Source organism: Homo sapiens, chromosome 11 (genome assembly GCF_000001405.40).
Source record: "Homo sapiens chromosome 11, GRCh38.p14 Primary Assembly".
In the NCBI taxonomy this organism is placed as follows: Eukaryota; Metazoa; Chordata; class Mammalia; order Primates; family Hominidae; genus Homo; species Homo sapiens.
The window spans coordinates 123,277,820-123,290,812 of record NC_000011.10 but is presented as its reverse complement, the minus strand read 5'-3'; the positions used below and the strand labels follow the sequence as shown (position 1 = coordinate 123,290,812).

The 12,993-nt window shown below is 42.0% G+C and overlaps 1 annotated feature.

Annotated features, from left to right (window-relative positions):
- Positions 1,185–1,686: an enhancer, noted in NCBI's record as "H3K27ac hESC enhancer chr11:123159835-123160336 (GRCh37/hg19 assembly coordinates)". NCBI's record gives its function as "activates a minimal SCP1, AML or CMV promoter by ChIP-STARR-seq in primed H9 embryonic stem cells {active_cell/tissue: H9 hESC(primed)}" and the evidence as "EXISTENCE:reporter gene assay evidence [ECO:0000049][PMID:30033119]".

Below are 12,993 nucleotides of genomic sequence, written 5' to 3'. Positions count from 1 at the left end.
TGTCCCATCTTTGACCAGTGGGAGAACACTGAAGTGGGCACCTGGATCTTTTTGATGGCAATGCTTGTGGTCAGTGATAGCTCCATGCTTTCCAGTACAATAGAATGTTCCAGGCCCCCTTCAATGTTTCCTGTCCCAGCCTTGAAATAATCATTTATCCAAGGAGGCATGGCTTTCTTGAGTTAGAAATTCTATTTAGAGAACACAATCTGAGGATAAGGTTATTATTTTGGGGTTAGTCATGGCTTGCAGGCGTTTTCAGTGAGCAGAGCAAGGAAATATGTTTATTTTTAAAGAAAATACATCCTAAGTACTTATTAATTTTTTAAATCCAATTTAAGATTACAGGATTTTCCACTTGACTCATTCAATTTTATATTTATATCTCTCCTCTTCTACTGAAAGACTTGGTTCCTAAATATGTTACCATAATTATTTATTTGAGGTACATATACACATGTATATGTGTGTATGTATATATACATATGTATATATGTACTTAGTTTCAGAATAATACCAATATAGTAATATATATTAATACACATATGTAATATGTGTACTGTAGTACTAATATAGTATTACTGTATAGAACACAATATATATATATTCTGAAACATATATACATGCTATGGTTTCGATATAGTTTGTTTGTCCCCACCAAATCTCATGCTGAAATTTGATTCCAATGTGGGAATGTTGGAGGTGGGGCCTGGTGGGAGGTGTGTGGGTCATGGAGGTGGGCCCCTCATGAATAGATTAATGCCTTCCCTCAGGGATGAGTGAGTTCTCTCTCTATTAGTTCTACTAAGAGCTGATTGTTAAAAAGAGCCTTGCTGGGTGCCAGGGCTCACACCTGTAATACCAGGACTTTGGGAGGCTGAGGCAGGCAGATCACCTGAGGTCGGGAGTTCGAGACCAGCCTGGCCAACATGGTGAAACCTCACCTCCACTAAAAACACAAAAATTAGCAGGGCGTGGTGGCATGCACCTGTAATCCCAGCTACTCGGGAGGCTGAGGCAGGAGAATGGCTTGAACCCAGGAGATGGAGGTTGCAGTGAGCTGAGATTGTGCCACTGCACTCCAGCTGGGGAGACAGAATGAGATTCTGTCTCAAAAAAATTAAAAAATAAAAATAAATAAAAAGAGCCTGGTACCTCCCCCACCCCTTGCTTCCTCCTGCCTTGCATGTGAACTCTGCACACGCCAACTCCCCTTCACCTTCCGCCATGACTGGAAGCAGCTTGAAGCCAGGCCAACTCCCCTTCACCTTCTGCCATGACTGGCAGCAGCCTGAGGCCACGCCAACTCCCCTTCACCTTCCGCCATGACTGGAAGCAGCCTGAGGCCCTCACCTCATGCAGCTGCCAAGTCATGAGATTTTCAACCATAAGAATTGTCAGCCAAATAAAACTTTTTTTCTTCATAAATTATCCAGCCTCAGGTATTCCTTTACAGCAACTCAAAATGGGCTAAGAGAAATATACTTAATAGTTTCAGAATAATAATACTAATATTATTAGTAATATTATAACTACTGAAAACAGTTTAAGATTTATTTACAATCCTATTTATCCTTTGGATAAATTCCTCTAAGATTGTACAGTCCAATTCCTCTGTTTTAAAGCAATTAAAGTTCACCTCATTCCTGTCAAGATGGCTACCATTAAAAAAAAAACAAACGCAAGTGTTGGCAGGATACGTAGAAATCAGGATCCTTGCATAGTGCTTGTGGGAATTTAGGGAGTGCAAAGTGGTGCAGTCTCTATGGAAAACAGTGTGGAGGTTTCTCAAACAATTAAAAATAGAACTACCTTATCATTCAGCAATCTCACTTCTGGATATTTCTCAAAAAAAATGAAATCAGGATCTCGAAGAGATATCAGCACTTCCATGTTCATTGCAACACTATTCACAATAGCCAAGATGTGGAAACAACCTAAATATCCATTGACAGATGAATGGGAAGCCAAAATGTGGTCTATACATGCAATGAAATAATATTCAGCCTTAAGAAAGAAGGAAACCCAGGGCCGGGTGCGGTGGCTCACGCCTGTAATCCCAGCACTTTGGGAGGCCTGGGCAACATGGTGAAACCACGCATCTACTAAAAATACAAAAATTAGCTGGGTGTGGTGGTGCACGCCTGTAGTCTCAACTACTCGGGAGGCTGAGGCACAAGGATCGTTTGAACCTGGGAGGCGGAGGATGCAGTGAGCAGAGATCACCCCACTGCACTCCAGCCTGGACAACAGAGGGAGACTCCATCTCAAAAAAACAAAACCAAAGCAAAAAACAAAAAACAACGGAAGGAAATCCTGCAATGGGTGACAACACTAATGATCCTTGAGAACACTATGCTGAATGAAGTAAGCCGGTCACAGAAGGACACATACTGCATGATTCCACTTACATAAGATATCTAAAACAGTGAAATTCATAGAATCCAAGAATGGAATTGTGGCCACTAGAGGCTGAGGAAAGGGGAAAATGGGGGTTAACTAATCAACTGGCATGAAGTTTCAGTCAAGCAAAATGAATAAACTCCAGAGAGCTGCTGTGTACAGCATTGTACATACAACCAGCAATGATGTGTTACACATTAAAAATTTGTTCAGCATGCAGATCTCATGTTAAGAATTCTTACCATAATAAAATAAATGAAAATAAAGTCATTGAAAGTATTTATTTCTCTATATTTAAACAATCAACCTGATATATGCTTAGGTTTATTGCTTTCGTTTTGTTTTCACTGTTTAGGGACTGCAGTTTCTTGTTCAATTTTATTTAACTTGCTTTTATAATTATATAAATCATTAGTATGGTTCCAAACTCAATATATAAAAGTAGGTTTTATAGGGGTGTAAAATATGTCCACAAATTATTTAATACACCCTTAAAAAGGCAAAGCCTGATTCCCCTCCCTTTGAGTGTGGGCTGGACTCAGTATCTTTTTGGTTTTGTTTTCTTTTTTAAATAGAGGCAAGGTCTTGCCATGTTGCCCAAGCTGGTCTTGAACTCCTGGGCTCACGCAATCCTCCTGCCTCAGCCTCCCACAGTGCCGGAATTACAACCACCCCATGTTCAGTATCTTGCTTCTAACAAATAAGATGCAAGTGACAGTATGTGACTTCCAAGACTAGGTCATAAAAGGCGTTTCAGCTTTCCCTGCTTTTTTTGGATAACTTGTTATAGAAGCAGCCATCTGCCATGTCATGAGGATGCTCAAGCAGCTCTATGGGGTCTGAGAGGTCCATGTGGTGAGGAACTGAGGCCTCCTGCCAACAAGGAAGCAACTCAGTTGAGTGACCCACTATGCAAGTGGGTTCTTTAGCCCCAGTCAAACCTTTAGATGACTGAGACTCAGACCAATGTCCTGACCACAATCTCATGAAATGCCCTGAGACAAAACCACCCAGCTAAGCAGCTCCTGGAGTCCTGACCCTCAAAATTTGTGTGAGATGCTACTATTGTTATTCTAAGCCACTAAATTTTTTGACTAATCTATTTTGTGGCAATAGTTAACAAATACAAGTACATTCAGACAAGTCTAGCCTATGTTCCTGCCTCCTCCATCCCCCCAAAGGTAACCAATTTTTTACTTGCAAGTTTGTCCTTCCCCTGATTTTTACTTTAAATATAAACAAATATGTAAATATTTCTATTATCCACCCTTTCTTAGAGAAAAGAGTATCTTATGTTCGCTCTTCTGAGACTTGCAGTTTTCAATTAATAATATTTACTGGAAATCATTTCCAAGCAAAATATAGAGATGGTCTGCATTCCTTTCAACAGCTGCTTAGTATTCCATTCTGTGGATGAGCCACAGATTATCCAACCAATCCCCTATTGGTGTTGTGCAATCCTAGGCTTTAGCATTGCAAATAGTGCTGCAATGCATTTGTCTTTTCATGGTTTTCCCAGTCTATCTTCAGAATAGGTTCTTACGTACACTCCTTTTTGAATTTTTTCCTATTGCCGAGGCTGTCATGAATCTCATTTCCCCTTTCTTACTTCAGAGTCTATTTCATAGAATTTAGCACTTATTTGCCTTTATTTTGTATTATTCTGAGTTTCCCATGTGTACCTTAGTTCTGTACTTATGAGGTTGTGCCGTGGTAGCCCATTTAAAGCAGCTATAGCTCTGACCTACTGCTGTCAGGATATTGGATTTAATGCTGAGCTTGCGGGGATTAAAAAATATCTAAACTAGAAAAGGAGGGGGTGGCAAGCAGAGGGGATAATAATAAGCCAAAATTTTTCAGCAGGTATGCCAAACACGAAACAACTCTTCTTGCAAAAGAGAGAAAAATGTAATTCTCCCCATCCCTATCAGGATGACAAGAAAGATAATGCTGATGTCAGCCAAAATCTAAGATACGGAATGAAGGGTACTCAGGTTAGAGAGAGAATTCGTTCCTAGGTTAGCCAGCAAAGCAGGCAGCAAACATCTTGCCAAGCACCCTGGCTGGAAGTATAGCCTTTGCAGAAAAAGATTATATTTAAAGCAGTGTTGCTATGAGGTCGCTACATATTATGCTACTGGTAAAGAATACTGACAAGCACATGGTAGTAATAGATCCTCAAAAAACCCCTGCTCACTGATCAGATTCTTAGCTTCAAATTTTCATCACAATTATATTCTTATCCTGGCCTTTCTCTTCTGTTTTCAGGTGAATTAAATGTCAGTGCATATGAGCCTTTATTTTTACAATAGATGAAATCCTTATAAAGTTGCACATAAATCTACTTTTTATTATCAATGATACAGTTTTTTTTTTTTTCTCTGAAACATGGTCTCGCTCTGTCACCCAGGCTGGAGTGCAGTGGTGTTATCATAGCTCACTGCAGCCTCAACTTCCTGGGCTCAAGCGATCCTCCCAAGAACCTGGACTACAGGTGTGCACCGCCACACCCAGCTAATTTTTCTAGTTTTTGTAGAGACGCGGTCTCACTGTGTTGCAAGGGCTGGTCTCAAACTCCTGGCCTCAAGCAGTCCTTCCACCTTGGCCTCCCAAAGTGCTGAAATAACAGGCATAAGCCTCTGCTCCTGGCCAACAATATGCTTTTATACACACAACGTGCAATTCACTGAAGATGCAAGTGCATGCCCATAATAGACAAAATTTCTAAATTTTAGAAATTGATTATTTAGTTGGGGAAATCAGGTACAAACCCAAACATGAAAGAAATCACTTCTAAAGGATTTGAGTAAGGAGTTCACTTGGGATACCACCTGCTGGAAATACCATTCAGAGGCTGGAAGAGCAAGTTGAACCCAGGGTTTTGATGATAGATAAATGGAGAAAAGGAAGGAAGGTTTTTGGCAGGAGTGGTGTGAGCTAAATTGGGAAACTGGTAATTTGCCATATTGTTAGATTAGCTGTGATGAGAGAGGGGAGTACATCCCATCTGAAAAGAGCATTTTTCAGCTGGAGAGGAAGAGGGTGGCATGGGAGGAAGAGGGATCGGCAGGAGTGTGTAGGGTTGGAGGCAGGCAAGCTGATTCAATGTCTGTAAACAGAATGGCATTTTTCACACTTCAGATTGGGAGTCCAATGACAACTGATCATTTCAGAGCAGTTTCATCTTCATTTCTTTTTTTTTTTTTGAGACGGAGTCTCGCTCTGTCGCCCAGGCTGGAGTGCAGTGGCGGGATCTCGGCTCACTGCAAGCTCCGCCTCCCGGGTTCACGCCATTCTCCTGCCTCAGCCTCCCAAGTAGCTGGGACTACAGGCGCCCGCCACTACGCCCGGCTAATTTTTTGTATTTTTAGTAGAGACGGGGTTTCACCGTTTTAGCCGGGATGGTCTCGATCTCCTGACCTCGTGATCCGCCCGCCTCGGCCTCCCAAAGTGCTGGGATTACAGGCGTGAGCCACCGCGCCCGGCCTCATCTTCATTTCTAATTGAAGTTTAATTCTACTTCAGCCCCAAGTGTCTGTCACCATTCAACTTCAGTACCTACGTATAAATACTGACAAAGAGTTGCCTTTCTATTCCTGTTAATCCTTTTTAGAAAAGTGAGGAAATGCTAAAAAGATAAACTAATGGCTGGTTAATTTGTTTCTGGCAAATTTCAGTCTTGCATTAGTAGGATTGCTCGAAGTGGGTCATGCCTGTATTTCCTCTGTATTTCCTCTGTGTGTGTGTAGAAGATAACCTACTCTAATGAGCTCCAGGCTTTTTTTTTTTTTTTTTAACCTTCCTTCACAATCAGGAAACATCCCCAGCCCCAAGACACTGGAGAATAACTGTAACTGTGATGCATCTCTCTGTGATAGACTGCAAAAGATAGCTCCCTTTTGCCCCAGGTTGCTTTTTATTTCTTTTCAGGAATGTGGGAGGGATGGAAACATCAGGGAGAAAAAACTTTTCCTCTACCCTTATGTTCAGTAACTAGAGGCCTGCAAATTGAACAACAGATTAACAGGAGAAAAAGCACGCAATGTTTACTAATATTTACATGAATGGGAGTTACTAGAAAAGAAATGAAGCTCAAAGAAGTAGTTAGAAGCCAGGCGCTATGGCTTGTGCCTGTAGTCCCAGCTACTTTGTAGGTTGAAGTGGAAGGATCTCTTGAATCCAGGAGTTCAAGTCCAGGAGGAAAGGAAAGAGAGAGAGAGAGAAGGAAGGAAGGAAGGAAGGAAGGAAGGAAGGAAGGAAGGAAGGAAGGAAGGAAGGAAGGAGAAAGAGAGAGAGAAAGATAAAGAAAGAAAGTAAGTAAGAAGGAAGGAAGGAAGGAAAGAAAGAAAGAGAAAGAAAGAAAGAAAGAGAAAGAAAGAAAGAAGGAAAGAAAGAGGGAGAGAGAGAAAGAAAGGAAAGCGGGAGGGAGGGAAAGAGTGGTTAGATTCTGGGGCTTACATACCATTTTAAACGAAGAAAAGGAAGTTTGAGTTTCAAGGGATGTGAAAGCAGGAGTAAGTGACTAAGAATATGTGGGAGAACTAATGGAAGATTAGAGTTATTTTAGTAAAGTTTTTGTATGCAGACTTCTCTCAGTGCCGACTCTCCATCTCTCTGATAAGAGTCACTCTCCTCTTCCTGGTGCCAGGAGAAGGGGACACCATCATTAGGGAAATTTATGCCACCTTCTCAAAGATAAATTTACGCCCTGCTTTTAGATGGATAAGTGAAGGGCAGGAAACTCTTGCTACATCTGTTGATCCTCAATTGCCTTTGGCTCAAAATAACCCTCCAAAAGTGGCATATTTGGGGGTGGCATATCCTGATCCTCTTCAGAAACTAACATGTATTGCATGCCTTTTTTAAGAGCTGTTTTTTTTCATGCGCCACCTCATTTTATTATTACAGCAATCCAAGGAGTTGTATTAGTCCCAATTCACAGGTAAGAAAACGGAGACCCACAGAAGTGAAATAGCTTGCTTAAGATTACAAGTGAAGGCCAGGCACGGTGGTTCACATCTATAATCCCAGCATTTTGGGACGCCAAGGTGGGCGGATCACAAGTTCAGGAGTTTGAGACCAGCCTGGCCAACATGCTGAAACCCTGTCTCTACTAAAAATACAAAAATTAGCCAGGCGTGGTGGTGCAAGCCTGTAATCCCAGCTACTTGGGAGTCTGGGGCAGGAGAATTGCTTGAACCCAGGAGCTGGAGGTTGTGGTGAGCCGAGATCACGCCATAGCTCTCCAGCCTGGGCAACAGAGCAAGACTCCATTTTTGTGGGGGGGGGGGGGTTGGGGAGAAAGATTACAAGTGAATAGGAGGCAAGGCCAGCAGCAAACACACTTCGGTCTGATTTTAAAACCGAAGTTCTTTCCTCCATCCCACAGCACCATTCTTCCCTTGGAGGGGGAGTTGTAGATTTGCAGGCAGGAAGGGAAAGACTACAATGTTTGAAGAGAGAGGGAGCGATAAATAAACGTTACTTACTAGTAAGGGGAAGAATTATGAAATAGTGCTGCTACAGCTTGGCTCTGCACTGCCCTTAAGTTGCAAAGGTTGGTTGTTGCTGGGAGATGAGGCTTTTTCCCGCATGGGGTTATTTGTTGTAGAGAATCTTTGAACCATATCACTAAATCACAATTACTGCTCATGCTATGAAGCTTTGCTTCCTGGAATGAGCCCGTGCCCTCAACTCATTCTTCAAGACTCTGCACAGACATCCACACTCCTCTGAATCCTCTCTTAGTGCTTTTCACGTGGAGTCTCCTCGGTCTACCTGCAACATTTGGGAAAGGATTTAGGTGTCAATTCTAAAAAATAAGCCATCTTGCCATTAGACAGTCAGAAACCTGTGTAGCCTCCCGAGTCCTCTGTTAAAGATTCCTGACCTTTTCTTGGTGGTTTACTTTTCGACAAACTGGAGTAAGTCCGACATGGATGAATGTCTGGAAGTCCTTCCCTTCTCTATTCTTTTCTCTATTTCTCTTCTTTATGCCCCTACATTCTTCTCTGTCTTGACCATCTGTCTGTCTTCTCTGCCAAGACCCCAACTCTATCCTAGAAGCCAAAAGCGAGCTTCATGAAGTCGATTGTCCTTGCCTTGCTGGGGTGGTAGCAGTGTGGTTGTGGTGGTCTCTGTGCCTGCTCTCGGTAGGGCAGCCTCTACAATGGTGCCTGCCCAGCTGGAGGCCCTTGGTAAGGATGCGCTGAGTGATATAAACACAGGGACTATCCCTGGGGCCATTCAGATTCTTTAGATTGGAAAATGCGCTAGACTTATAAAGGTCTCTTACTGTTTTGTGTTTGGGTTTTTTTGTTGTTGTTCTTCTTGTTATTCACAATAGTTCTGACCTCTTAAGACACCTTTCAAATGTCACTGCAGAGGGCATGTGTAGTTTTGCTCACACAGTGGCATTTACTGCCCCTTTGTCTTTTCACAATGTTCAGGTTTTCTTCAGGGAACAGGAAACCTACCGTACTCCAGTCTCAGCCCATGGACTTTGGCTAGAGCTTTGTTAGAGAACAACGTTCCTTTGGCTGGAGCCCTTACCACGTACTGCTCACCCACGTGTCAGCCTAGAAGCCCTCTTCCATGCCAGCTCTTTCTTTTTTTTTCTTTCTTTTTTTAACTTTAAGTTTTGGGATACATGTGGAGAATGTGCAGGTTTGTTATATAGGTATACACGTACCGTGGTGGTTTGCTGCCCCTATCAGCCCGTCATCTAGGTTTTAAGCCCTGCATGCATCAGGTGTTTGTCCTAATGCTCTCCCTCCCCTTGTCCCCTACCCCCCGACAGGCCCTGATGTTTAATGTTCCCCTCCCTGTGTCCATGTGTTCTCATGGTTCAACTCCCACTTATGAGTGAGAAGATGCTGTGTTTGGTTTTCTGTTCCTGTGTTAGTTTTCTGAGAATGATGCCTTCCAGCTTCATCCATGTCCCTGCAAAGGACATGAACTCATTCTTTTTTATGGCTGTATAGTATTCCATTGTGTATACGTGCCACATTTTCTTTATCCAGTCTATCATTGATGGGCATTTGGGTTGGTTCCAAGTCTTTGCTATTGTAAATAGTGCTGCAGTAAACATACATGTGCATGTGTCTGTATAGTAGAATGATTTATAATCTTTTGGATATATACCCAGTAATGGGATTGCTGGTCAAATGGTATTTCTGGTTCTAGATCCTTGAGGAAGTCTTCAACAATGGTTGAACTAACTTACACTCCCACCAACAGTGTAAAAGTGTTCCTATTTCTCCACAGCCTCGCCAGCATCTGTTGTTTCCTGACTTTTTAATAATAGCCATTCTAACTCACGCCAGCTCTTTCATAAAGCTTTTCTGATCCCCCTACCACAATGCCCACTGTTGGGAGTCAACTTTTCTTCCTCTGCACTTAGAGAAAATATTTACATCTTTCTTATGCCACCTGTATTTTTATGTTCATTGTATCATATCAATTGTTATCATGTCTGATCTCCTAGAAGGCTGAGATTGTAGACTTTAACAGTTAATGTCCCATTCATCTCTGCAACCCTATTATATGCTAGGGCACAATGGCATAATAATAGGTGCTATGTAAATATTGGTTGAGTAAATGATGCTGTGAGAAAACGTATGGATGAACAGATTATTATAAAAATAAATGAGATTTGGCCAGGCGCGGTGGCTCATACCTGTAATCCCAGCACTTTGGGTGAAGGGGCGGCCTGCCCCTCCATACATGTGGGTATTTCTAGTCGGGTGGGACGAGAGACTGAGAAAAGAAATAAGACACAGAGACAAAGTATAGAGAAACAATAGTGGGCCCAGGGGAACGGCGCTCAGCATACCAAGGACCTGCACTGGCACCGGTCTCTGAGTTCTCTCAGTTTTTATTGATTATTATCTTCATTATTTCAGCAAAAAGGAATGTAGTAGGAGAGCAGGGTGATAATAAGGAGAAGGTCAGCAACAAACATGTGAGCAACAGAATCTATGTCATAATGAAGTTCGAGGGAAGGTACTACGACTGGACGTGCACGTAAGCCAGATTTATGTTTCTCTCCACCCAAACACCTCAGTGGAGTAAAGAATAACAAGGCAGCATTGCTGCAAACATGTCTCGCCTCCCACCACAGGGCGGTTTTTCTCTCATCTCAGAATTGAACAAATGTACAATCGGGTTTTAAACCGAGACATTCAGTTCCCAGGGACAGGCAGGAGACAGTGGCCTGTGTTTATCTCAACTGCAAGAGGCTTTCCTCTTTTACTAAGCCACCTCAGCACAGACCCTTTATGGGTGTCGGGCCGGGGGACGGTCAGGTCTTTCTCATCCCACGAGGCCATATTTCAGGCTATCATATGGGGAGAAACCTTGGACAATACCCAGTTTTCAAGGGCAGAGGTCCCTGCGGATTTCCGCGGTGCATCGTGCCCCTGGTTTATTGAGACTAGAGAATGGCGAAGATTTTTACCAAGTATACTGCTTTTGTTAACAAGGCACGTCCTGCACAGCCCTAGATCTCTTAAACCTTGATTTCATACAACACATGTTTTTGTGAGCTCCAGGTTGGGTCAAAGTGGCTGGGACAAAGCTACGAATTAACAACATCTCAGCAAAGCAATTGTTTAAAAGTACAGGCCTTTTTCAAAATGGAGTCTCTTATGTCTTCCCTTTCTACATAGACACAGTAACAGTCTGATCTCTCTTTCTTTTCCCTACACTGGGACACCAAGGCGGATGGATCATGAGGTCAGGAGATCGAGACCATCCTGGCTAACATGGTGAAATCCCGTCTTTACTAAAAATACAAAAAAAAAAAAAAAAATTAGCCGGGTGTGGTGGCGGGCGCCTATAGTCCCAGCTACTCGGGAGGCTGAGGCAGAAGAATGTTGTGAACCCGGGAGGCAGAGCTTGCAGTGAGCCAAGATCACCCCTCTGCACCCGAGCCTGGGCGACAGAGCGAGACTCGGTCTCAGATAAATAAATAAATAAATAAATAAATAAATAAATAAATAAATAAATAAATTAAATAAATAAATAAAATAAAAATAAAATAAAATAAATAAATAAATGAGATTTATGTTCCTATTTCCTTCTTCTTGAATGATGGCATTTTCCATTACCTTCAATAGGTCCCTCTTAAGTAAGCTTTCTGGGATTCTAACATTTATTAGTAAGTTTATGAACAATGACCTCAAGGAAAATTCCAAATCATCAAAATGGAGCATTTCTATTCTATTAGCAGAGCAGTATTATACAACTGTAATGTTAAGGCATTTCACAATCTGAATTCATTATTCATTCATTCATTCAACAAAATACATGGAGAAAGATAAAATAAGTATAATATATGCTTCCTGCCCTTTCAATCCATTTAGGAAAACAACAGACACACTAATTAAAAGTTTACTAAGACAAGGCATCTGAGGACAGATCTCTGTGAAGGCAGGGATCAAGGAAAACTTTACGTAAGAGGGATTGACCAAAACATTTCAAGCAAATTATGATTTGAAGGTTTATGATTATTTCAAGTACTGCCATGGGACTCCATGCTCATTTGAAATTTTCTGAATTTGACAACAGCCTTCTCTAGCCTAATAGGAGATTGAGAATAATTTAAATGTCAGTAGAACTATTTTTATATTTATATCAAATTTATACCCTATAGTTCTGGCTTGGTGTAGCGGCTGATGCCTATAATCCCAATACTTTGGGAGGCTGAGGTGAGAGGATCACTGGAGGCTAGGAGTTTGAGACCAGGCTGGACAATATAACAAGACCCTATCCCTACCAAAATAAAAATAAAAATAATTTTTTAATTTAAAAAATATCTGTAGTTCTACATTTTCCTTGCCAACTTGCCCAGATAAATCTGAGAAACCATTAAAAAATGATTCATTGTCTAACAATGCAGTTGTCATCAGATCACAAGCACATGGTCATTAAGGTGAGGGGCTCTGCTCCCAAGAGGAAAGCAAACTCTTTGGATCCATCTCAGATGCTGGGTTCTGATGCTGTGTTGTCTGTTTCCATCTCTTTCACTTCTCCATCATCTAGAGGTTTCCAGTTACCAACTCCAAGCTGGAAAGACACTTGGAAAATGATTTCATGTCATATGCTGCAACATGGATAAACCTTGAAGACATTAGGCTAAGTGAAATAAGCCAGTCATGGAAGAACAAATACTGTATGATTCCACTTATATGAGGTATCTAAAGTACTTCAATTCACAAACACAGAAAGTAGAACGGTAGTTGCCAGTAGCTGGAGAGAACGGGGAAGGGAGATGATGTGGTTTGGATGTTTGTCCCTTCCAAACCTCATGTTGACATTTGATGTCCAATATCAGAGGTGGGGTCTGGTGGGAAGTGTTTGGGTCATGGGAGTGGATCCCTCATGAATGTCTTGGTGCTGTCCTTGTGATAATCTGTGAGTTCTCTCTCAATTAGTTTTCTTGAGAACTGATGTTGAAATGAGCCTGGCGCCTTTCTCCCCTCTGTTTCCTTCTCTCTTGCCAAGTGATGCCTGCTCCCCTTCGCCTTCCACCATGAGTGGAAGCTCCCTGAAGCCCTCACCAGAAGCTGAGCAGATGCCAGTGTCATA